Raw genomic sequence first — 20,651 nt, 5'->3', positions numbered from 1 at the left:
TTAGGGAATGGGGTCTTTCAAGACTCACTGTCCTGAGCCCTGCTCACCCAAGAGACCTCTTCCCCAGTTCCAGTTTGGCCCCAAATGGTTGCCTCTCCATAGACAAAATGTTTCCCACCTCTCTATCCCTTTAACTGTTTGACAGTAATGCAGATTCGTTTATCAGATTAACTGGAAGTCAATCCAGGTTGGCACCCCTGGAGAAGGCCTGGCCACCTGAGCTGCCTTCAACTAAAGGACTGATCTGTAATAGACACTTTAGCCTCATGTGGCCGTGGAGAACCAAAATGATCTATGGAAATGTAGGGAAACTCATTTTAGCTCACAACAAAGGAGTCACTTTTTACCTGTTAGAGATGTCCAATATTAGAATGGGCTACCTCATAAGGTAATGAGCCTTGTCACCCAAATGCTTTAAACAGAAGCCATCATCTGTCACATGCCAGAGGGTGCCCCTCAAGAGTGGGAGAGCAGGGGCTGAACTGCTGAGTTCCCGCTGCGTCCTGTTGCTATGCTGCCTGCACCCTTGGTGGGGAGAAGAGAAGAGGTGGACTGCTGCGGAGGACCTGGCAAACAAGGACCCAGGTCTTGAGGGGATGGGGGCTGATGGGGAAACCGTAGGGTGTGGGAATTTAAGGATTAGTGACATTAGTAACATCACTTCCTCTCAAATTGCGTTTACAGCCTTTACTCGACTGTCCCAAACATGGCCTGTTTTACAAAGCTGCTAAGAAGCACAGCTCCAAATCTGGAGCTGTGAGTGCCCGCCCTGACTCTGACTAGCTTACAGTGAAGCTTTGGGAAGTTGTTTTCCGCTGAGCTCTTATTTTCTCATCCAGAAAATGAGGGGGTAGGATTTGGTGAGTTATAAAGTGCCTTCTAGCTCTAGCAGTCTGTGACTGGCCCTGCTCTTTCTGAGCAGATCAGTGAGGCAATGACCCCAAAGCGGGGCTGCCCAGAATCACCACAGGCTTCCTTTGGCTCTCCACCTTGCCCCAACCCCTCTGGCCACTGCTGCCTGGGGGTCTTTCTCCAGCTTGCCACATTCTTGCTCAAGTGTAGTTTAGCACCATGGATGGACAGCAGATTTGAATTTGAAATCAGCCCTAACATTAACTAGCTGGGTGACTTTTAGTAACTTTCTTTCTTTGAGCCTTAGTTGCCTCATCTATAAAACCAGAGTTGGACAAATAGATCAGCTTTGCTGGGGTTGATAACTTCAGGCCCTTTCAGGAGTCAGGTCCCTGTTATTCCAGGGCTAGGGGAGCACTCCAGCTCAGAACGTTACTCTGTAGCACAGGATGCGAATCATCCACTGATACCGTGGCCATGCAACTCTGAAACAGACAGCAACCCCCAAACCCCCGGCCCTGCCACCAAGCACATCTCAGGAGACCTCCACTGGTATAATTTCCCTTGTCCCTAAGAATCTCCTTCCCCAATCCCTTTCCTTTGCAGTTAGAAAAAGGCAAGCAGGACTGAGTTTAGTGGTTTTAAAATTAGGGGTGTGGCCAGGCACAGTGTCTCATGCCTGTAATTCTAGCACTTTGGGAGGCCTAAGCAGGCGGATCACTTGAGCTTAGCAGTTCAAGACCACCATGGGCAACATGGCAAAATCCTGTCTCTACAAAAAAATACAAAAGTTAGCTGGTCATAGTGGTGTGCCTGTGGTCCCAGCTACTCAGGAGGCTAAGGGGGAGGATGGCTTGAGTCTGGGAGGCTGGGAGGTGGAGGTTGCAGTGAGCCGAGATAACACCACCACACTCCAGCCTAGGTGACAGAGCCAGACCCTCTCAAAATAATAGTAATAAATAATAATAAAGTTAGGGGTGATCAGGCCCTGAACAGGGAAATGTTCTGTCCAAGGTCACAGAGCAAAGAGAACCCAGGTGTCCACAACTCAGCCAAGAGTCTTGACCCCTGTGTCGTCAGCTGCACACACGCTGCACACTCCACCAGCTCCTAGGCTTCTCTCCACATCTGACTTATCGAGGCCTGGGCTGTGGGTAGCTTTTTGGACAGAAAGAAGCAGAAAGCAGCAGGAGCTGCTCTCCGAGGACCGCACCTCAAAGAGCAAGATCCCCCAGGTGGGATCGCTCTGAGGCTTCAGGCAGGGGAGGCTGGTTTGAAAGCCGATCTCCAAGAGGGCGTGGCTCCAAAATGCTGGCAAATAAAAGCCTGGAGAGCCAGCACCAAGCTGGAGACCAGCAGGAGGCACAGGAAAACTGCAAGCCGCTCTGTTCCTGGGCCTCGGAAGTGGTGAGCTCGCTGAGGCAGGAGGAGCTCTGGGGAGGGTCTGGGAATGTGGACGAGGGCCCTGCAGGCCAAGATGGGGCAGATGGAGGGAGGAAGATGTTTGCGCTCCAGATGGCGAAGAAAATTCCAGGGAAGGGAGAATCACTGCACAGAGGGCTGACACACAGGTCCTTTCCAGAGACAGCTGCTCACACTCACACCCATACACACACACACACACACACAAAGGCAGATACAGGGAAAAGGCAGCACCATTCAGGCACACCTCACCTGTCAGACCAGCCAGCCCTGGCTCACTCACCTGGAATGCAGTATTTAAAGAACTCGCCATCCCACCTGCACACCCACGTAGAGACATCTCCCCACTGTGTTTCAGATGCCTATGGCGTCCCCTCAAACCCTGGTCCTCTATCTGCTGGTCCTGGCAGTCACTGAAGCCTGGGGCCAGGAGGCAGTCATCCCAGGCTGCCACTTGCACCGTGAGTACCTCTGGGACCGGAGGGCTAGGAGCAGTGGAGGTTCTGGGTGGGAGCAAAGAGCTGAGTGGACGGTGGGGCAGGCAGCACCCTAAAGGGCCCCACACTGAGGCACAGGCAACGGGAGCTGGGGCGAGGCAAACCTTGGCAGAGGCGCCGTCTACTGCTTGCCTATCTCCTTCTAGCCTTCAATGTGACAGTGCGAAGTGACCGCCAAGGCACCTGCCAGGGCTCCCACGTGGCACAGGCCTGTGTGGGCCACTGTGAGTCCAGCGCCTTCCCTTCTCGGTACTCTGTGCTGGTGGCCAGTGGTTACCGACACAACATCACCTCCGTCTCTCAGTGCTGCACCATCAGTGGCCTGAAGAAGGTGAGGAGGGCCCGGGCCCGGTGGATGGACGCTGGGGTCGCGGGAAGACCAGAGAGATGGAGATCCTAGACAGCCCTGAGAAAGGGGACTGCAGCACGGACTCCCCTCTCCCGCAGGTCAAAGTACAGCTGCAGTGTGTGGGGAGCCGGAGGGAGGAGCTCGAGATCTTCACGGCCAGGGCCTGCCAGTGTGACATGTGTCGCCTCTCTCGCTACTAGCCCATCCTCTCCCCTCCTTCCTCCCCTGGGTCACAGGGCTTGACGTTCTGGTGGGGGAAACCTGTGTTCAAGATTCAAAAACTGGAAGGAGCTCCAGCCCTGATGGTTACTTGCTATGGAATTTTTTTAAATAAGGGGAGGGTTGTTCCAGCTTTGATCCTTTGTAAGATTTTGTGACTGTCACCTGAGAAGAGGGGAGTTTCTGCTTCTTCCCTGCCTCTGCCTGGCCCTTCTAAACCAATCTTTCATCATTTTACTTCCCTCTTTGCCCTTACCCCTAAATAAAGCAAGCAGTTCTTGAATTTCTCTCTTTATTAAGTCTACCCCCAGCCACGGAAAGAGGAGTAGACCATGATTACTGTGAACCCCCCCTTACCCCAGGACACTGTGAATCTCTTCTTGCCTGTGCCCTCCCCCTCCCCCTGCCCAATAAATAAAAAGGGGACAAGGAAGTACACAGCGAGGGAAGGGAGGAGTGTGCACCCAGGACAGTGTCTGTGTAGAGGGTGAGCTGGGCGAGAATAAATAGACCATGGACCCCATGGTGGGGATAAGGAAGGACCTCGCATTGGCCAAGGCAGGGGCAGGCGAGGCGCTGAGTGCCCTTGCCCAAGGCCAGGAGCAGAGGGTGGGAGCCCGCCTGCAGCTGGAGCCTAGCTTTGCGGGGCAGGGGAAGATCCCTGATGGCAGCTTCCTGGTCAAGCTTGCCCTTGTCAAGTCCTGCCACGAGGGGCTGAGCATTCTGTTGCCAAGACCACCATTGCCTCTCCTCGTCTCCCCCCAGTGAAAGCTGGGCTGGGCAGGGAGTCCTCAGAAGCCACTCTGGCAAGGCCAGGGGTAGGTGTGTTTCTCTCTGGGCCCCTGGACAGGAGAAGGGATAGAGGGACTGACAGCTCTGGGTTTAGCTTTTCCCCTTCTGAGGTGCTGTCTAGCTCTGACCCCCACTGGCGGCCACCTGGGGTGTAAGCCGCTGGAGGGGGGCCTCCTTGGCCCCCTGGGTCCCCTGTAGCCGGCGTAGCCGCAGCTCCTCCAGACCTTGCCATAACTCCTGACGCTCCTGGGCCTTCTGCTGCTCCCTGGGGAGAGAGGGTGAGGCAGCTCCCTTTCCTGGGGCCCCCCACAGTCCAGACTCCCTCACAGTCCAGACTCCCTCACTACCACCCCACCGGCAAAGGGAAGGCATGGAACCATTTTTGTTCTGTGACTCCATAAAAACCCTCTACTGAGGGAAGAGAGCAGAGGACAGACAGATCCCAGCCTGCAGTCACAGAGAAGATGACGGGTGGGGCCTGAGTGGTTCTGGCTTCTGTAGGAAGCTACAGGGAGTCAGAACAAGTCTGAGCTACTCGAAGAATGACGGGAGGATACAGGGGCAGACAGTCAGGCATAGGATGGCAGGAGCATGGACAGTCTTGCAGCATCTGATCAGACAGAGTTTGGGGTAGTCCTCGGGTTCCCTCCAGCCATGGGGGTCTGACTCCTCCCTGCTCTTCTCCCTTCCCCCACGCCCAGCCCCCAACACTCACTGCTGCTTTTCCAGCTTGTAGGAGGCTGTGAGCTCATCAAACAGCTTCCCATTCATCTCCATGAAGGTCTTGAGCACATTGTAGATCAGTGATACGATGGTTCTTGGCAGTGTCAAGGAGGGATGAGGAGATGAAACAGCTTTGGTTTGCCCACCTCTCCCTTTCCCTGCCCTTCACATACAGCATTCCACCTGAACACAAGCACTGCCCACTTTCCTGTCCTTTTCACCACCCCTGGGCCATCTTTTGATGCTTTCTCTGATATTCTCCAGCTAGGAGTAACCCTGGGGTCGGGTCTGGACTGGCTGGCCCTGGTCCCAGTTTCTGTGAGTTAGGTCATGGCCTGGCACTCACTGGTTCCAGTGCTCCTTGGAGACTTGGTAGAGGGTCCCAAACACAGCAGGCAGCACAGTGTGGCAGTTGTCCTCAATGAGGCTTAGGATATACTCATTGTTCCAGAAATACAGAGCCCGCTCTGCAACCTGGGGCAGACAAGATGGCAGAGTGATTAACTGGCAGTGGCTTCTCTCTGTGTGCAAGGTCTGGTGTCCATCACTACCTCAACGCCCAGGCCCCCTGACCTTCACACACCCCACCTTCAGGGCTTATCTGAGCCCTGGAGGAAGCAACAGTGTTGAAGGGAAAAGAGTTCTAGATACGGAATCCAATGCTGCGGGGTGAATCCTAACCACTACAGACTCTACTATGCCATGTGACCTTGGGAGAGGCATTTAACCTCCCAGCCTCAGTTTTCTCATCTGTAAAATGGGCTAATAATACCTATCTCAACAGGATGTTATAAGAATCAAATGAGATACTAGACTTTTAGGTGTTTAATGAACCGAAGTGCCAGAATCACTGTGAGGAAGACTTGACTTCCACTGGGTTATGGCCCATAAGAACGGGAGGAAGTCTGCACATGCTTGCAGCAGAACATGAGTTAGTTAGCTGGGTTGGTGCGGGGAAGCCTGGCTGCATCCCAAAGCGAGTCTAATGAAATCTAAGGCCACTAGCAAAAGGGGAAAAGTGATAACAGTCCTCCATCACATTCTGGATCACACTTCAGTTTACCAAACATGTTTACACTCACAATCTCTTCCATCCTTATCCCCACCCTGTGAAGAGGTTGTTGGCCCATTTTACAGCTGCGGAAGCTTAATCAGAATCAGAGTGGTGCAGTGATTTGCTCAAGGCCCCTCAGCCAGTGGAAGGCAGGTCCGAGGCTTCACCCTAGGTCTCCTGACCCTAAGTCCAGCATCTCCCCATTACCAGACCCGGGATTGGAGGAGAAACTGAGGGCAAAGGGAGCTTTATTAGGTCAGCTACCCAACCTTTCCAGGCCAGCCCTGCTCCCATCCCCGCCTGTCCTGCCTCATACCTGGAAATGGGGGCTGGAAACACAGCGAGCCACCTGCTTAAAAAGGGGCTCCTGGATCTTCACAAACTGGGAGGGCTCGATGACATCAAGAATCTCTTCCATCTCCCCCAGAAACATCACCTGGGTGGGTTGGGGAGGGGAGTAGGGACAGAGGGGCAGCAGCTCACATCTCCCCCTACACATACACACACCTGACTGCCTTCTAGAGGCCGAGCCCTCCCAGCCTCCCTCTGGCGGGCATCAAAGCCCTTCTTCATACCTCCTTCTGGGTGCAGGTTTTTGGCCAGTATTTGAGCAGCCCCCGGATCACCTGTGGGAGATGAGACAGGAGTCACGCCTGCAGAGGTGAGAGGCTGCCTTAGCCCCCAGAGGTACTCACGTGCTCTGTCAGAGTGGCATCCTTCTCCAGGAACTGCACCACACAGTATGCCAGCTGCAGGGGGTGACAGGTGGAGGGAAGGAAGACAGGTCAGGAAGGCACCAGGCGCCAAGGACTTGCTGTCCAGGACAGAATGCCAAATACTGCTCACCCACGGCCTGTTACTTTCTTATTCACCAAGCATTTATCACCTGCCTAGGATGTACCAGGCATCACATTCAGTGTGCTGGGAATACAACTCTGATCTCGCGGGGAGTGGGGACAGTCAACAAACTCATCTTTATAAATTTTGCAAAAGGTTCCATAATATGGCTAGTGTGGTGGCTCACGCCTGTAATCCAAGCACTTTGGGAGGCCGAGGCAGCAGAATCACTTGAGCCTGGGAGTTTGAGACCAGCCTAGGTAACATAGCAAGACACTGTCTCTACAAAAAAAAAATTTTTTTTAATTAGCCAGGCATGTGGCACATACATCTGTGGTCCCAGCTACTCGGGAGGCTGAGAAGGGAGGACTGCTTGAGCCCAGCAGGTAGAGGCTTCAGTGAGCCATGTTCATACCACTGCTCTCCAGCTGAGGCAACAGAGTACGGTTTTGTCTCAAAAAAAAAAATTGTGTATCAAAATCTCCCATAATAGATTTGTGTATCCAAATATTTGGGAATATAGATGGAGAAGAATGTAATTCTGCCAAGGGAGGGTAGAGAAGAAAAGCCTGGCTTCACAGAGCTGATATCTGAGGTTAGCCTTAAAGCGCCAGTGGGAATTTTCTAAGGTAGATGGAACAGAATTATAAAGACAAAGAAGGTGAGATAGGATCCCTGGAGGATCTGACCTCCAGGACCCACTGGCTGCCCTGACTGTCTGGAGCTCCTGCTGCAGCAGGGACAGGCCTGGGCCTCACCTGGGCATGGAAGACAGACAGCGACTTGACAGAGTGCAGGGGGATCAGGACGCGAACCAGGAACTGCTTGTGCTCCGTCTTCAGGGGCAGCGCAAAGCCATTGATGATGCTGAGGAGGAGGCAGAAGAGAGGAAGAGGGCTCAGGTGACCTGGCCCCAGTCCCTCCTTCCAGAATCCTGAGCTCCAGCTGAGGCCCAGGGAGAATCACCTTCCTAGGATCTCCAGCAGCTCAGCCACACCATTGAAGTGCTCGAATTCATAGATGAACCTGCAAGAGAAGAACGCAGGTGGGCTCAAAGCAAGCAGGGTAGGCCCAGTGCCCCCTTAGGCATCCTGCCTGCCCACCCTCACCTGCACGGCACGCTCATCCAACTCTCCCCCAACCCAGAGGCTGCGCTCCCTTCCCAACATCCCAAACCAGGCCCCATTGAGATCCCCGCCCCCCCACACTGAAATGCCCTTCTCAGCCCAGCCACCTCTGCCACTGAGTCCCAAGCTCAAGGCTCTCTTGCCAGTCAACCAAGAGAATGACAAACACTTAGCACATCTACTCCGTACCATGTAAGTCTCAGAATTATCCAGGGAGATGGGGCTTAAGAAATCCATCACATGGATGAAGAAATCAAGACTCAGCGGTTAAATAAAACAACCCCAATGTTAATAGGCAGGGAATCTAATGAACTCCAAGGTGCAGGAGGACAGGGATCATGGCTCACCCATTTTGTAGCTAATAACAACTAATGTTTCAGAGTCCCGGCCTCAGTCCAGGAGCTATGCTGAGTGCTTTGCAGGCAAGGCCCCATGTCACCTCGATAATGGTCCCTGAGTTAGTACAAGCAGCATCCCCATTTTTATCTTATCTTTGAGATGGAATCTCGCTCTGTCGCCCAGGCAGGAGTGCAGTGGCGCAATCTTGGCTCACTGCAACCTCCACCTCCCAGGCTCAAGCGATTCTCCTGCCTCAGCCTCCTGAGTAGCTGGGATTGCAGGTGTTTACCACCACACTCAGCTAATTTTTGTATTTTTAGTAGAGACGGAGTTTCACCACGTTGGCCAGGCTGATCTTGAACTCCTGATCTCAAGTGATCTGCCCACCTCCAACTCCCAAAGTGCTGGGATTACAGGCATGAGCCACTGCACCCAGCCAGCATTCCCATTTTAAAGACGAGCAAACTAGGAGAGAGCTTAAGTAATTTGCCAAAGTTCACCCAAACGTTGGAACCAAACTCAAATGTAGGCCATACAGCTTCAGAGCCATGGTCTCAACTACAAGGCCACGTGAGCCTTGATGCCCAGTGGGTGCTGGTGCTCAGTGCATGTTTGCAGAAAGAATCTCTCTCTGGGTCCTTATGGCCTGGCATGATAAGGGTCAAATGATTTAGCTCCTAGGCCCCTGGACTGACCCAGTCCCTGCAAACCATTTCATCTCTCTTGGCCTCTACTTTCTCATCTGTAAAATGGAAATAAATACCCATTCTCTGTCAACTTCACAGGCTTTGTATAATCAATATGTAATACGTTACTGAGAAAGGGCTTGGAAAACAGAAGTTCTACAAGGGCCCCTGCAGCCCAGGAGCCTTTGCTGCAGTCTTCTTTTTTTTTGTTTTCTTTTCTTTTTTTTTTTGAGACACAGTCTCCCCGTTGCCCAGGCTGGAGTGCAGTGGCATGATCTCGGCTCACTGTAAACTCCACCTCCTGGGTTCATCCGTCTCGCTCTGTCGCCCAGGCCGGACTGCGGACTGCAGTGGCGCAGTCTCGGCTCACTGCAAGCTCCGCTTCCCGGGTTCACGCCATTCTCCTGCCTCAGCCTCCCGAGTAGCTGGGACTACAGGCGCCCGCCACCGCGCCCGGCTAATTTTTTGTATTTTTAGTAGAGACGGGGTTTCACCTGGGTTCAAGTAATTCTTGTCTCAGCGTCCCAAGTAGCTGGAATTACAGGTGCCCACCACCATGCCTGGCTAATGTTTGTATTTTTATTAGAGACGGGGTTTCACCATGTTGGCCAGGTTGGTCTCAAACTCCTCACCTTAGGTGATCCACCCACCTCGGCCTCCCAAAGTGCTGGGATTACAGGTGTGAGCCACCGCACATGGCCTTTGCCGCAGTCTTCTAACAGCCCTCTCACCCTCCCCAGGTCTCTGCTGGGCAGGCAGCAGCCACTCACCGGAGGAAGATGTGGTTGCACTGTTTGCGGATGTAGGCCCGGAGACCCAGGAACTTGCCATAGACCCGGTGCAGGATGGTCTTGAGGTACTCACGCTCCCGGGGATCCTCACTATCAAATAGCTCCAGGAGCTGTGGGAACCAGAGTCAGGGTCAGGGTCAGGGTCAGGGGAAAGGTCCACCCCAGGTTGCTTCCATCCTATCCCTGGCCCCTCAGAGAGCCTGCCCCTGCCTTGTGGTACCACCCAGCCTGGGCTCCCCACTTCACCATCAGGACAAACTTTTGATCCACATATCTCTTGGCCACGGAGGGCTGGAAGTCTGGGCTCTCCAAGAAACGCAGGAAAAACTCATATACCAGCTGGGGGAGGGGGACAGACAAAAAGGTGAGTTCAGTAACAGCCTCACCCACTCATTCCACCCTATGGCCCTCATCCAACTGTCTAGGGGCTAAGGAGGCCCTCTCCCCATGCCTTGGATCTCTTCTGAAACTTGGATCTCTGTCTTCCCCAACCCTTCAGACCTGCAGGTGTGGCCACGAAGGCTCAAGATTGGGCTCATCCTCTTCAGGGTCAAATTCAGGGTTCTCACTGGGCGGCAGAGTCCGGAAGATATTCACTGAGATCTGAGTGGCAGAGTTGGGGTTCATTAAGGAAAAGCCCTTGAAGACAGAAGCCAGGGAGTCTCTCATTCAAAGCTTTTTTTTTTTTTTTCTTTCCCAAGACAGGGTCTCGCTCTGTTGCCCAAGCTGGAGCGCAGTGGTACAATCTCGACTCACTGCAACCTCAACCTCCCAGGCAGGCTCAAGCGATCCTCCCACCTCAGCCTTCTGAGTAGCTGGACTACAGTAGCACACCACTATGCCCGGCAAATTTTTAAATTTTTGTAGTGATGCGGTCTCACTGTCAGGCTGGTCTTGAACCCCTTGCCTCAAGTGATCCTCTCGCCTTGGCCCAAAGTGCTGGGATTACAGATGAGAGCTGCTGCTCCCGGCCCTCATTCAAAGTTCTAATGGGTTGATTTCAGCATCTGCCCCAGCAAGCAGTTCATTCCTTGGGCAATCATCACCTGAACGCCTAGTTCGTGCAAGCCCTGGGCCAGGGGCTGGGAACCCAGGGGTGAATGGGACACATCCCTGCCTTCTAGGCAGGTGCAATCCAGTGGGGAGAACAAGGCTAGAAGCTGTGAGGTCTACGGGCAGGAAAAGGGAGATTTCCAGCTTGGTTATTGACAGCGGCTTCTTGGCAGAGGCGGCACCTGAGCCAGGCCATGGATGGTATGGGGTGTGGGGCAGGGCACTCCAGGTCTCAGGCAAGCATAAGCAAAGGTGTGGACGTGGGGCAGGCCCGGAGGCATTCAGTGGGTGTTGGGCAGCAGCAGGTCGGGGGGAAGGAAGACGTGGACTGAGGCCAAGCCGATGAGTACAGGGTTATTCTCCACGCAGGGGTCCTGCGGACAGGAAACGGGGCTCACACGCCCTCTCGGCCGGCCCTCGGAGCCTGGGTGGCAGGTGCTCACCATGCGGATGATGTCTGGGTAGACGGGCTCGATGAGGACACCCCGGGTGCTCCCCACACACTCCACCAGCTCGTTGAGGGCTGCCCGCTTCACCTCCTTCCCCTTGAGGTCGGCCACACAGTCCAAGAAGTCAAACATCACCCCACACTGGGCCAGCTTCCGGCTCAGCAGCTCGTGCAGCTCGGAAGCCGGCACATCTGGGGAGGAGAGGGCATCCTGGGCCTGGGCCCCAGCTCCCCCAGCTGCCCCAGCTGTGGGTGGGGCAGACCCTCCTAATCTCCACGGCTGCCTCTGCTGCCCCCAGGCCCCATGCTCTTGTGCCATCTCCTGCTCCTTGCAGACAGCAAACAACTACTGTCCCTTCCTCCATTCCTGGGGGTTGAGGGTTGCTTTTCTTCCTCCTAATCCAGGCTCAGAGAGTATGATGGCCTGAGTTTTAAAGCAAGATCACAAATCCTGGATGCAGCAGCTTTCCACAGGTGCCCCAAACAGCTGCTGCCTCCCTCTCAGGTGGCACCCTGTTCTAAGGGCCAGAAATGGGGAGGGGTTCAGGGCCAAGGATCTCTACGGTGTCCTCAGGCTTGGCCAGTCTGGCCCTATGGCCCAAGGCTGGGGAAGGGACCTATGTGGTGATCCCAGGGAACCCTGCCAAGCGCCTGCTCCAGGGATCTGGCAGCTGGCTGGGCTGATAGTGGCCCCCTGGAACCCAGGCTATGGGCCCCACCCTTGGCCTTGGTCTGCCCCTAGGGTGGCACCACCTTCGGATGTCCCACCTCTAAGGATGACAGGCCAGTCAGGCCATGTGTCAGCAGAGAGGGCTGGAGGGCTGGGGTCAGTTCTGATGGCGGAGAACCTAGCCTGGAGGGGTATCCAAACTCTCTCTCTTGGCAGCTGCCCGCTGCCTCCCACCCCTCCCCATGGCCCTGCTGGTCCCCTCGGGGGTTCGGTTCCCCCAGTGGCCAGCAGCCAGCTCACCTTTGAGCAGGGGCAGCGGTGTGAGCTCTTGCTGGTTGCTCTGATAGCGGAACTGAGAGGAGCTGTGGGAGCGGCGGGGCCGGGCTCTGCGGAGGGAACGGCGGGAGAAGCCGTCCACCTTGTCGGGTGGGGGCACAGGCGACAGCCCGGGGGAGGAGGGGCTAGTGGGGGTGCTTGCAGGGGGCAGCTTCGTCTCCATGGCGGTCAGGCGGCAGGGCAAGCTTTCAGAGCCCCGGGGGTTCTCTCTGGGCCTGGGAGGTGCTGGGTGAGACTGGACAGACTAACTTGGTCCCATCCTGTCCGGCCTTTGGGGGGGGGGCACAACCACAGTCCTGGGCCCCCCCCCAGGGCCTCCTGCAACTGCCCAGTCCTGGGGGGCAGACAGGGTAGAAAGGAGGATGGCTCAGGCCTCAGATCCTTCCTGGGGGTCCCGAAGAGTCCAGTTAGGGTTCCCACCCTGGCTCTTTTGAAAACGAAGTCAGGCAGAAAGATCAGCAAGAAAGAGACAGAGAAAGCCCATCAGTTCCTCAGGAGAGCCGGGAGGCTGCGTGGAGTGCCCAGGTCTTTTCCCTCCTATCCTTGCCCAGACCCTAAAATAGGGGTGCAGCCCCCTCCCATCCTGGACATGTCCCTCCCTTCTCTCAGACAGAAAGCCTCCAAAACAACCCCTCCCAGAATAGGGCCTATCCCCCAAGCCAGCCCCGACTCAGAATGGAGCCCCGATCGTCATCCCTGCCCCTTTCAGAATGGAACGCATCGCTGCTCCACTAATCCCGGCCACTTGGGACAACCCCAAGACTGGAGGTGCTGTCCCGATGCCACCCCGCTCCTAGAACCTGGCACCCTCCCCCACCTCAGCTCCTCCTTCCTGGCCCCCCAAACCTCATGGGGTGGGGGACACTCACTTCTCGAAAACCTAGACTTCGGTCGCCAACCCCCGGGGGCTGCCCGTAGGGAGGGCGACGGCCGTTCAGGGCCCCTTCGCAGCGGTTCCGCTCGGGGCGCTGGGGCTGGGCGGCGGCGCTCCTGGGTTCTCTCCCGGGCTCCGGGGGGGCGGCTAGAGCATGCCCCCAACTCAGCCCCGGGCCGGGACTGGGCGCTCGGCGGGCTCTGCACCGGCCGTCGCAGCGCGCGGATCTCCGCTGAAGTCCTGGGACTCCGACCCAACGCGGTGCAGCGCAACGGGAGCCCCGGCTCGGCTCCGTGCGCACCGGCACCCGCCGCCCAGCTGCTCAGGATGACATCAAGTCACCTCCCCCCACCCGGCCCGCACCTCCCCGCGGGCTGAAAGGGGGGGCTGCGTCAGGAAGGCCCGGGGCCGCTGGGAGATGTAGTCCCCGCGCCGTTTAAAGTGAGCTGCCAGACCAAAGGGGACACCCCTGAGGGCAGACTCGGGGGTGAAGGCCGAAGCTTTTGAAGCCAGAGAGCAGAGTGGGATGGGCTCTAGCCGGGGGCGGGAAGCCTGGATTCTAGAAGGGAGGCTGCATAGGGAAAGAGGAGGGCTTAGGAGTTTGCACCAGGAAAGTAGGGTGATGCCAGGACACTGACAGGAAGGAGTCGCAGCAAGCTACGCTAGGCCCACAGATTTGGCCTGGGCCTTCTATGCCCTAGGCCATCCCCCCAGGAACCTCACCCTTACCCCAGAACCACCAGACACTTCAGAAACCCCTTGGAAACCAGCACTGGACTAGTTAAAAGTCTGCGATGAGTCAGTGCTTGCTGGGAGGGGTGTGGTGCACCCAAGCCTGCTGGGAGATGCAGTCCATCCTCAGGCCTGCAGTCCCCCTCCCGTCCCTTGCTGTCTATGGTGACATCATGGTCTCCAGTTTAAAGGGCCAGTCTTGGAGTGGCAAAGCCCGAGAGGAGGAGGTTTTCTCCTTGAGCTGCCACCTCATCCCAGGCAGCCTGGCCTTCCCGGATGGACCTTTCAGCCCCCCTGGACCCTAAGATGTGCTGGGTGGGTCAGTGTCTCTTGCTCAAAATCCTGCTGCTGGCATGCAAGGCACAGGTGGGAGTCCAGGAGTTTGGCATGCTAACCAAAAGTTCCCAGCCTGCAGTCCTGGGCCCCCGTCCTAGGATCCTGGACCCCAACACTCTTTATAGCCCTGAACTCCATCCCGCTACACTGCTGTGAAATCTCCACCCTGAAATGTTGCCTGGATGAGCAGCTGGTCCATGGTGAGCAGTAGGAAAGGGTGATGAGACCAGATAATGAGGTCGGGGAGGGGACTAGGGGCCTTTTCAGAGTCTGCCCCATCTTGCTTTGGGTCTTGGTGACCACTCAGTGCTCCAGCGGAACCACCCAGCCATCCTCCCGGTTGCAGAGGAAGCCTGGGTGCGCAAGAGGTGTCCGCCTACCAAAGCAACAGAAGGCAGAGGCCTGCACCGAGGGCCGCAGTTCACCAGGCTGGGGTCCAGGACTCCGGCACTGGAGACCCAGCAAGTGCTCTGCTTGCTCAGGAACCTCCGGCAGGCCTTGCCCATCCGGCCCTTGGTGTCCCTGTCTGTCCAATGGGAATCCATGATCTCCCTCCTTGCCCACCTCCCAGGCTCTTCTGCATCCCTGAACAAGCTGAGGGAGGGCAGGCCCACAGAGCCTCTGCAGCCAGGCAAGGACCCCAAGGCCTAGAGAGGAGAAGCGCCTTGCCCAGTGTCACACAGCGTGTCATCAAAAGTTGGGGCCAGGGGCCAGGCTTCCACCTCCCAGCTGGCTACAGCCCATCTCCACAAGCCCCCTGGGTACCAGTGCCCTGGTCTCAAGGCTAGACTGACCACAGAGGACTGGTGTTTTATATAAAGGAAGTGCTAAGGCCAGGTGTGATGGCTCATACCTGTAATCTCAATACTTTGGGAGGCTGAGGTGGGAAGATCACATAAGCCCAGGAGTTAGAGGCTGCAGTAAGCTGTGATTGTGCTGTCGCATTCCAGCCTGGGTGACAGAGACCCTGTCTCAAAAACAAAACAAAAAACAGAGATGTTCCATTTGAGAAATGGGGCACTGAAGAGTAGAGGAGAGGGATAAGACTCTTGGAAGAAAAAAAAAACTTTTTTTTTTTTTTGAGATGGAGTCTCGCTCTGTTGCCCAGGCTGGAGTGCAGTGGCACAAACTCGGCTCACTGCAAGCTCCGCCTCCTGGGTTCACACCATTCTCCTGCCTCAGCCTCCCGAATAGCTGGGACTTCAGGCGCCCACCACCAAGCCCAGCTAGTTTTTTTGTATTTTTAGTAGAGACGGGGTTTCACCGTGTTAGCCAGGATGGTCTCGATCTCCTGACCTCGTGATCCGCCCACCTCGGCCTCCCAAAGTGCTGGGATTACAGGCGTGAGCCACTGTGCCCGGCTGAAAAAAAAGACTTCTGAAGTGGTGGCATTTGAACTGGGTCTCAAAATAGGCACAGTGTCACTTGGAGGATGCAAGATTGAACATTTTTTGTTTGTTTGTTTTTTGAGACAGAGTCTCACTCTGTCACCCAGGCTTGAGTGCAGTGGCACCATCTCAGCTCACTGCTGCAACCTCCACCTCCCAGGCCCAAGCAATCCTCCTGCCTCAGCCTCCCAAGTAGCTGGAACCACAGATGCACGCCATCATGCCAGGCTAATTTTTGTTTTTTTTGGTAGAGACAGGGTTTCGCCATGTTGCGCAGGCTGGTCTCAAACTCCTGAGCTCAAGCGATCCATTCGCCTCAGCCTCCTAAATGCTGGGATTACAGGAGTGAGCCATTGCACCCGGCTTTATTTTATTTTTTTATTTTTTTTTTGCAGTGGCGCGATCCTGGCTCACTGCAACCTCTGCCTCCTGGGCTCAAGCAATCCTCCCACCTCAGCCTCAGTCCCGAGTAACTGGGACCTCAGGCGCATGCCACCACTCCTGGCTAATTTTTTGTATTCTTTGTAGAGACAGGGTTTTGCTATGTTGCCCAGACTGGTCTCTAACTCAAGTGATCCTCTCGCCTTGGCCTCCCAAAGTGCTGGGACTACAGGTGTGAGCCACCATGTGTGGCTTTTACCACAATTTAAACGAAATGCATCACGTTGTGTTATATGCAACGAAAGATGTATGTTCAAAACAAAAAAAAGTCACCAATTTCAGTTGTACAATCCAACAGTATTGTATTTATAGATGAAGTTCCATGTATTTATAGATGAAGTTTGCTTTTTCAGGTGTGTTCCAGATCCCCCTGTTCTCCTGGCTGCCCCTGAGCTACCTGGAGGAGCTCCTCTGGCCTGGACACCCAGTTCCCTGCCAGCTGCCTGGGATCTCCTCCCTCCAGCTCCACCCATCCTTGAGGGATGGCCTCTCTTCCTCCATGAAAGCCCTTCCCTCTGATAAAACCCAAGCTCTCCACCCAGGACAGAGTCAAAAGCCGCAGCCCCCGGGCCACCTCTGTGATCCCTTTCTCACCCCAGAGGGTGGGCCATCCCTGGGGGGAGGGAGATACTCCTTCAGGGCCCCTGAGGTCTGAAGCACACAGTTTGCCTGATGAGTTTTCACCTAATCTAAGGTGGGAAGGATGCCCCCCGGCCTGGGCAAAGCCTGGCCCTCCCCATTTTCTCTCTATGGGGAGGAATCCTGACCCCAAACTTCCCCTGACCTCTTGACTGGAATCCAGTTGTCCAGTAGAAGAAGCCCCTAAATGCAGTGCCCAGGGCCAGTGTATTTGTTAGAACTGCTGGACCTAGGCCAGGTGCAGGGGCTCATGCCTGTAATCTCAGCACTTTGGGAGGCAGAGGCAGGTGGATTGCTTGAGCCCAAGAGTTCAAGACCAGCCTGGGCCACATAGTGAAACTCCATCTCTACAAAAAATAGAAAAATTAGCTGGGCATGGTGGCACGAGCCTATAGTCCCAGCTACTCGGGGAGGCTGAGGTGGGAGGATTGCTTGAGCCCGGGAGGCAGAGGTTGCAGTGAACTGTGATCATGCCCCTGTACTCCAGCCTGAGCAAGAATGAGGTACTGGCTCAAAAAAAAAATTACATATATATATATATATAGAACTGCTGGACCGAAGGCTGGGCGCAGTGGCTCACACCTGTAATCCCAGCACTTTGGGAGGCCGAGGCGGGCAGATCATGAGGTCAAAACTTCGAGACCAACCTGACCAACACGGTGAAACCCCATCTCTACTAAAAACAGAAAAATTAGCCAGGCGTGGTGGTGCACGCCTGTAATTCCAGCTACTCAGGAAGCTGAGGCAGGAGAATCACTTGAACCCAGGAGGCAGAAGTTGCAGCAAGCTGAGATCGCGCCACTGCACTCCAGGCTGGGAGACAGAGCGAGACTCCGTCTCAAAAAAAAAAAAAATAACTGCTGGACCTAAAGTGGGGCTTGGGACTTCGTTGCAGAATGTCCCATGGGGTTCCCAACACCCCATTTCCTCCCAAGAGAATATCGTCCCCTTTACTGTGCGAGGATTTTTTGCTCACTCCTTTAGCTCCTACTCCGAGGCTAGGTTGGAGAATGACTGTCTCTGGAGTTGGTTTTCTACAGAGCTTGTCTGGGGAAGTATCTTTGTGTCCTCTCAGTCCTGTCTAATCTTCTGCTGTGGTACACACATGGCACTGGGAACTGGGGCTCAGGAATGGACCTGCAGGCACCAACCCCTAAGAGACGGATGTGCCCACCAGTTCAGTTACAACAGACAGATGTGAGTGCAGCCTGACCCTGGGGTCTCCCTCACTGGAGGAGAGCAAACTCCCAGAGTGGCTCCAGGGGCCTAGAAAGGATAACTTTTCTTGGACCAAGAGAATATCCCCTTCTATCCCCACCACCTTTGGAAGGAGGAGAAGTGGTGTTTTTTCTTTTTTCTTTCCTTTTTTTGTTTTTGAGGTGGAGTCTTCTCTGTCACCCAGGCTGGAGTGCAGTGGTGCAATCTCAGCTCACGGCAACCTCTGCCCCCCGGGATCAAGTGACTCTGGCCACCTCAGCCTCCCAAAAATGCTGGGATTACACGTGTAAGCCACTGTTCCAAGCCTCTTTTTTCTTTTTATGATTTCTGAATCTTAATGCTTTTTCATTCATTCGCTCCACAGCATTTAGGCACGTAGCCTTGGTCTCCTCTCCCTTAAGAATGGGGATATTAATAGAACCTCCCTCATGAGCATATGGTGAACAGCAGAGCAGATGAGATCGTGCACGTAAAGTAACAAGCCCAAGGCCTAGGACATCACACAGGCTTAATTCATGGTGGCAATTATATTTACTATTAATTTTTTTTTTAGACAAGATCTCCGTCTGTCACCGAGGCCGGAGTGCAGTGGTGCATTCATAGCTTCACTGCAACTTCAAACTCCTGGGCTCAAATGACCAAAGGCACACACCACCACGCCCGGCTAATTTTTTGAAACATTTTTTTTTTTTTGTAGACACAGGGATTCAGCTATGTTGCCCAGGCTGGTCTCAAACTCCTGGGCTCAAGCGATCCTTCTGCCTCAGCCTCCCAAAGTGCTGGGATTACAGGAGTGAGCAACCCAACCCGGTATATTATTATTAATGTAATAATCAGTTGGTGAGCACAGTACTGCCCCCAGCCTGCCATGGAAGAAGGCAGAGCTCTAGATTCCTTCCACAAGCAGTTTCTTCTTTTTTTTTTTTTGAGACAGAATCTCGCTCTGTCAGCCAGGCTGGAGTGCAGTGGCACAAACTTGGCTCACCACAAGCTCCGCCTCCCAGGTTCACACCATTCTCCTGCCTCAGCCTCCCGAGTAGCTGGGACTACAGGCGCCCGCCATCACACTCTGCTAATTTTTTAAATATTTTTTAGTAGAGATGGGGTTTCACTGTGTTAGCCAGGGTGGTCTCGATTTCCTGACCTCATGATCCACCCGCCTTGGCCTCCCAAAGTGCTGGGATTACAGGCATGAGCCACCGTGCCTGGCCCATAAGCACTTTCTGAATGGCTGTCCTATCAGCCTGCCTCCCTGAATGGAGCCTGCTCCTTCCAGGTAATGAACTATCTCCACTTACTAACCCAACCCCAGTTACATAGGATAAAACTGAGGGTCACAAGAGGAGAAGAAACCACCCATGGGTGGGACTGGAATACAGGTCCCTGCCCGGTGGGCCAGGGCGGTTGCCCTTGCTTCAGGCTGAGTTTTGGCATTAGAATGTAAGAGTCCAGCTCCCAAGTAAGATTAAAATAGAAACACAGGCTAGGTGGGGTAGCTCACACCTGTAATCCCAGCTACTCAGGAATTCCTTGAACCCAGGAGCCAGAGGTTGCGTGAGAGGAGACTGCACCACTGCACTCCAGCCTGGGCAACAGAGCAAGACTCTGTCTCAAAAAAAATAAATAAAATAGAAACATAGGCCGGGCACGGTGGCTCGTGCCTGTAATCCCAACACTTTGGGAGGCCAAGGCAGGCTGATCACCTAAGGTCAGGAGTTCGAGACCAGCCTGCCCAACACGGTAATTAGCTGGGTGCGGTGGTGCATGCCTGTAATCCCAGCTACTCTGGGAGGCCAAGGCAGCAGAATCATTTGAACCCAGGAGGCAGAGGTTGCAGTGAGCCAAGATTGTGCCACTGCACTCCAGCCTAGGTGACAGAGAGAGTCTGTCTCAAAAAGAAAAGAAAAGAAACATAATTACCTATGGCTGTTCCTGAAGTCGCCCATGATGTAAGAGGTTTTGTGTGGCTGCCCCCTACAGAGCAGCGGTTGGCAAACTTTTTCTGTGAAGGGCCAGAAAATAAATATTTTAGGCTTTGCAGGCCTCTGTCTCAAGTACTGAATTCTGCTCTTGTAGCAAGAAAGCAGCCCGGGGCAGAACTTAAGCAAATGAGCAAGACTGTGTGACACTAAAACGTTATGTATAAACACTGGAATGTGAATTTCATATGATTTTTCACATGCCATGAAAAGTTCATTCTTCTTTTGATTTTTCCCCTAACCATTTAAAAGACATAAAAACCATACTTAGCTCAAAGGCCGTACAAAAACAATGCCCCCCTGCTTAAAGGAGGCAGAATCCATTCTTTGATTTTAGGACTAGAGATATGAAAAGCTATTATTATTTCAGAGAGGTGCCTAAGGCCTGACCGACGGCAGAGAGAAGGGAGGGTCAGTTAATCTCCCTCTGAGCATTCCGGGGTGAGGAGGGGAAAAAAGACCTTCCTTGGTGATGGATTCAGAGCCCTTATTTATTTTTGTTTGTTTTTGAGGCAGGGTCTTTCTCGTATCTTAATCTGTTTTCTTACCTGTAAAGCGGTGGCAATAATCCCTACCTTGAGCGATTATTAAGAGGGCTCAATGAGATAAAGGATGGTAAAAGATTTTGCAAAATGCGAATGTTTACTCACTTAATTGTTTCCACAGATGCGCGCTTAAGATCGCGCACTGAGTTTACTCCTCTGGGGAAGGCTTCTACGAAGTTTGATGGGACACTGTCCCTTTAAATCCTCCCCAACCACTTAAAGTGGTTGGACGAATCAGCACATGCGCATTCCTTTGAGGGGCCGGCACCTGGAGCAACAGCCTTCCCAGAGCCTGTAGAGGGGA

The 20,651-nt window shown here is 54.2% G+C and overlaps 2 protein-coding genes across 7 annotated transcripts, besides 7 other annotated features; one reads left to right on the top strand and one right to left on the bottom strand.

Annotated features, from left to right (window-relative positions):
- The first annotated feature begins 384 nt into the window (after nucleotides 1-384).
- Nucleotides 385-3,622, top strand: GPHA2 (glycoprotein hormone subunit alpha 2). 3 transcript variants are annotated; one of them, XM_011544776.3, is made up of 4 exons: nucleotides 385-585; nucleotides 2,633-2,735; nucleotides 2,918-3,102; nucleotides 3,219-3,622. In XM_011544776.3, the coding sequence occupies exons 2-4, from the start codon at nucleotides 2,633-2,635 to the stop codon at nucleotides 3,318-3,320; spliced, it is 390 nt and encodes a 129-aa protein (XP_011543078.1). In that variant the 5' UTR covers nucleotides 385-585; the 3' UTR covers nucleotides 3,321-3,622. The 3 variants fall into 3 exon arrangements, with proteins under 3 accessions (XP_011543078.1, XP_047282447.1, NP_570125.1); XM_047426491.1 differs by lacking the exon at nucleotides 385-585 and adding an exon at nucleotides 774-860; NM_130769.4 differs by lacking the exon at nucleotides 385-585 and adding an exon at nucleotides 2,200-2,259.
- Nucleotides 3,618-20,520, bottom strand: PPP2R5B (protein phosphatase 2 regulatory subunit B'beta). Of its 4 annotated transcripts, none has more exons than XM_047427200.1 (15): nucleotides 20,351-20,520; nucleotides 19,744-19,825; nucleotides 12,160-12,245; nucleotides 11,185-11,381; nucleotides 10,190-10,291; nucleotides 9,935-10,027; nucleotides 9,668-9,798; nucleotides 7,712-7,771; nucleotides 7,504-7,612; nucleotides 6,604-6,657; nucleotides 6,484-6,534; nucleotides 6,225-6,344; nucleotides 5,201-5,328; nucleotides 4,847-4,948; nucleotides 3,618-4,396 (listed from the first exon to the last, which is right to left on the bottom strand). In XM_047427200.1, exons 2-15 carry the CDS (start codon nucleotides 19,767-19,769, stop codon nucleotides 4,249-4,251), a joined length of 1,407 nt encoding a protein of 468 aa, XP_047283156.1. In that variant the 5' UTR covers nucleotides 19,770-19,825; nucleotides 20,351-20,520; the 3' UTR covers nucleotides 3,618-4,248. The 4 variants fall into 4 exon arrangements, with proteins under 4 accessions (XP_047283156.1, XP_011543434.1, NP_006235.1 ...); XM_011545132.3 differs by having other exon boundaries at nucleotides 20,453-20,520; NM_006244.4 differs by lacking the exons at nucleotides 19,744-19,825; nucleotides 20,351-20,520 and adding an exon at nucleotides 13,065-13,404 and having other exon boundaries at nucleotides 12,160-12,622.
- Nucleotides 9,498-10,697: an enhancer, noted in NCBI's record as "BRD4-independent group 4 enhancer chr11:64694868-64696067 (GRCh37/hg19 assembly coordinates)". NCBI's record gives its function as "activates an origin of replication core promoter dependent on BRD2, P300/CBP, MED14 and CDK7 cofactors, and independent of BRD4, by STARR-seq in HCT116 cells {active_cell/tissue: HCT116}" and the evidence as "EXISTENCE:reporter gene assay evidence [ECO:0000049][PMID:35650434]".
- Nucleotides 13,106-13,215: a silencer, noted in NCBI's record as "silent region_3503". NCBI's record gives its function as "represses an Ori minimal core promoter by ATAC-STARR-seq in GM12878 lymphoblastoid cells {active_cell/tissue: GM12878}" and the evidence as "EXISTENCE:reporter gene assay evidence [ECO:0000049][PMID:35858748]".
- Nucleotides 13,316-13,535: a silencer, noted in NCBI's record as "silent region_3502". NCBI's record gives its function as "represses an Ori minimal core promoter by ATAC-STARR-seq in GM12878 lymphoblastoid cells {active_cell/tissue: GM12878}" and the evidence as "EXISTENCE:reporter gene assay evidence [ECO:0000049][PMID:35858748]".
- Nucleotides 13,646-13,815: an enhancer, noted in NCBI's record as "active region_4936". NCBI's record gives its function as "activates an Ori minimal core promoter by ATAC-STARR-seq in GM12878 lymphoblastoid cells {active_cell/tissue: GM12878}" and the evidence as "EXISTENCE:reporter gene assay evidence [ECO:0000049][PMID:35858748]".
- Nucleotides 13,646-14,443: an enhancer, noted in NCBI's record as "H3K27ac-H3K4me1 hESC enhancer chr11:64691122-64691919 (GRCh37/hg19 assembly coordinates)". NCBI's record gives its function as "activates a minimal SCP1, AML or CMV promoter by ChIP-STARR-seq in primed H9 embryonic stem cells {active_cell/tissue: H9 hESC(primed)}" and the evidence as "EXISTENCE:reporter gene assay evidence [ECO:0000049][PMID:30033119]".
- Nucleotides 13,956-14,025: an enhancer, noted in NCBI's record as "active region_4935". NCBI's record gives its function as "activates an Ori minimal core promoter by ATAC-STARR-seq in GM12878 lymphoblastoid cells {active_cell/tissue: GM12878}" and the evidence as "EXISTENCE:reporter gene assay evidence [ECO:0000049][PMID:35858748]".
- Nucleotides 20,483-20,612: an enhancer, noted in NCBI's record as "active region_4934". NCBI's record gives its function as "activates an Ori minimal core promoter by ATAC-STARR-seq in GM12878 lymphoblastoid cells {active_cell/tissue: GM12878}" and the evidence as "EXISTENCE:reporter gene assay evidence [ECO:0000049][PMID:35858748]".

The sequence above is a fragment of the Homo sapiens genome, chromosome 11, assembly GCF_000001405.40.
Source record: "Homo sapiens chromosome 11, GRCh38.p14 Primary Assembly".
Classification (NCBI taxonomy): Eukaryota; Metazoa; Chordata; class Mammalia; order Primates; family Hominidae; genus Homo; species Homo sapiens.
Note: the sequence above shows the minus strand (reverse complement) of the source record. Positions and strands in the feature narration are given on the sequence as shown.

Coding starts and splice junctions, on each gene's coding strand:
- PPP2R5B (XM_047427199.1), bottom strand. CDS start 12,358: ATGGAGACGAAGCTGCCCCCTGCAAGCACCCCCACTAGCCCCTCCTCC. Junction 10,028..10,189: donor CTTCGTGGCCACACCTGCAG/GTCTGAAGGGTT, acceptor CCCCTCCCCCAG/CTGGTATATGAGTTTTTCCT. Junction 4,949..5,200: donor TCCAAGGAGCACTGGAACCA/GTGAGTGCCAGG, acceptor GACACTGCCAAG/AACCATCGTATCACTGATCT.
- GPHA2 (XM_011544776.3), top strand. CDS start 2,633: ATGCCTATGGCGTCCCCTCAAACCCTGGTCCTCTATCTGCTGGTCCTG. Junction 2,736..2,917: donor CCCAGGCTGCCACTTGCACC/GTGAGTACCTCT, acceptor ATCTCCTTCTAG/CCTTCAATGTGACAGTGCGA. Junction 3,103..3,218: donor CCATCAGTGGCCTGAAGAAG/GTGAGGAGGGCC, acceptor CCTCTCCCGCAG/GTCAAAGTACAGCTGCAGTG.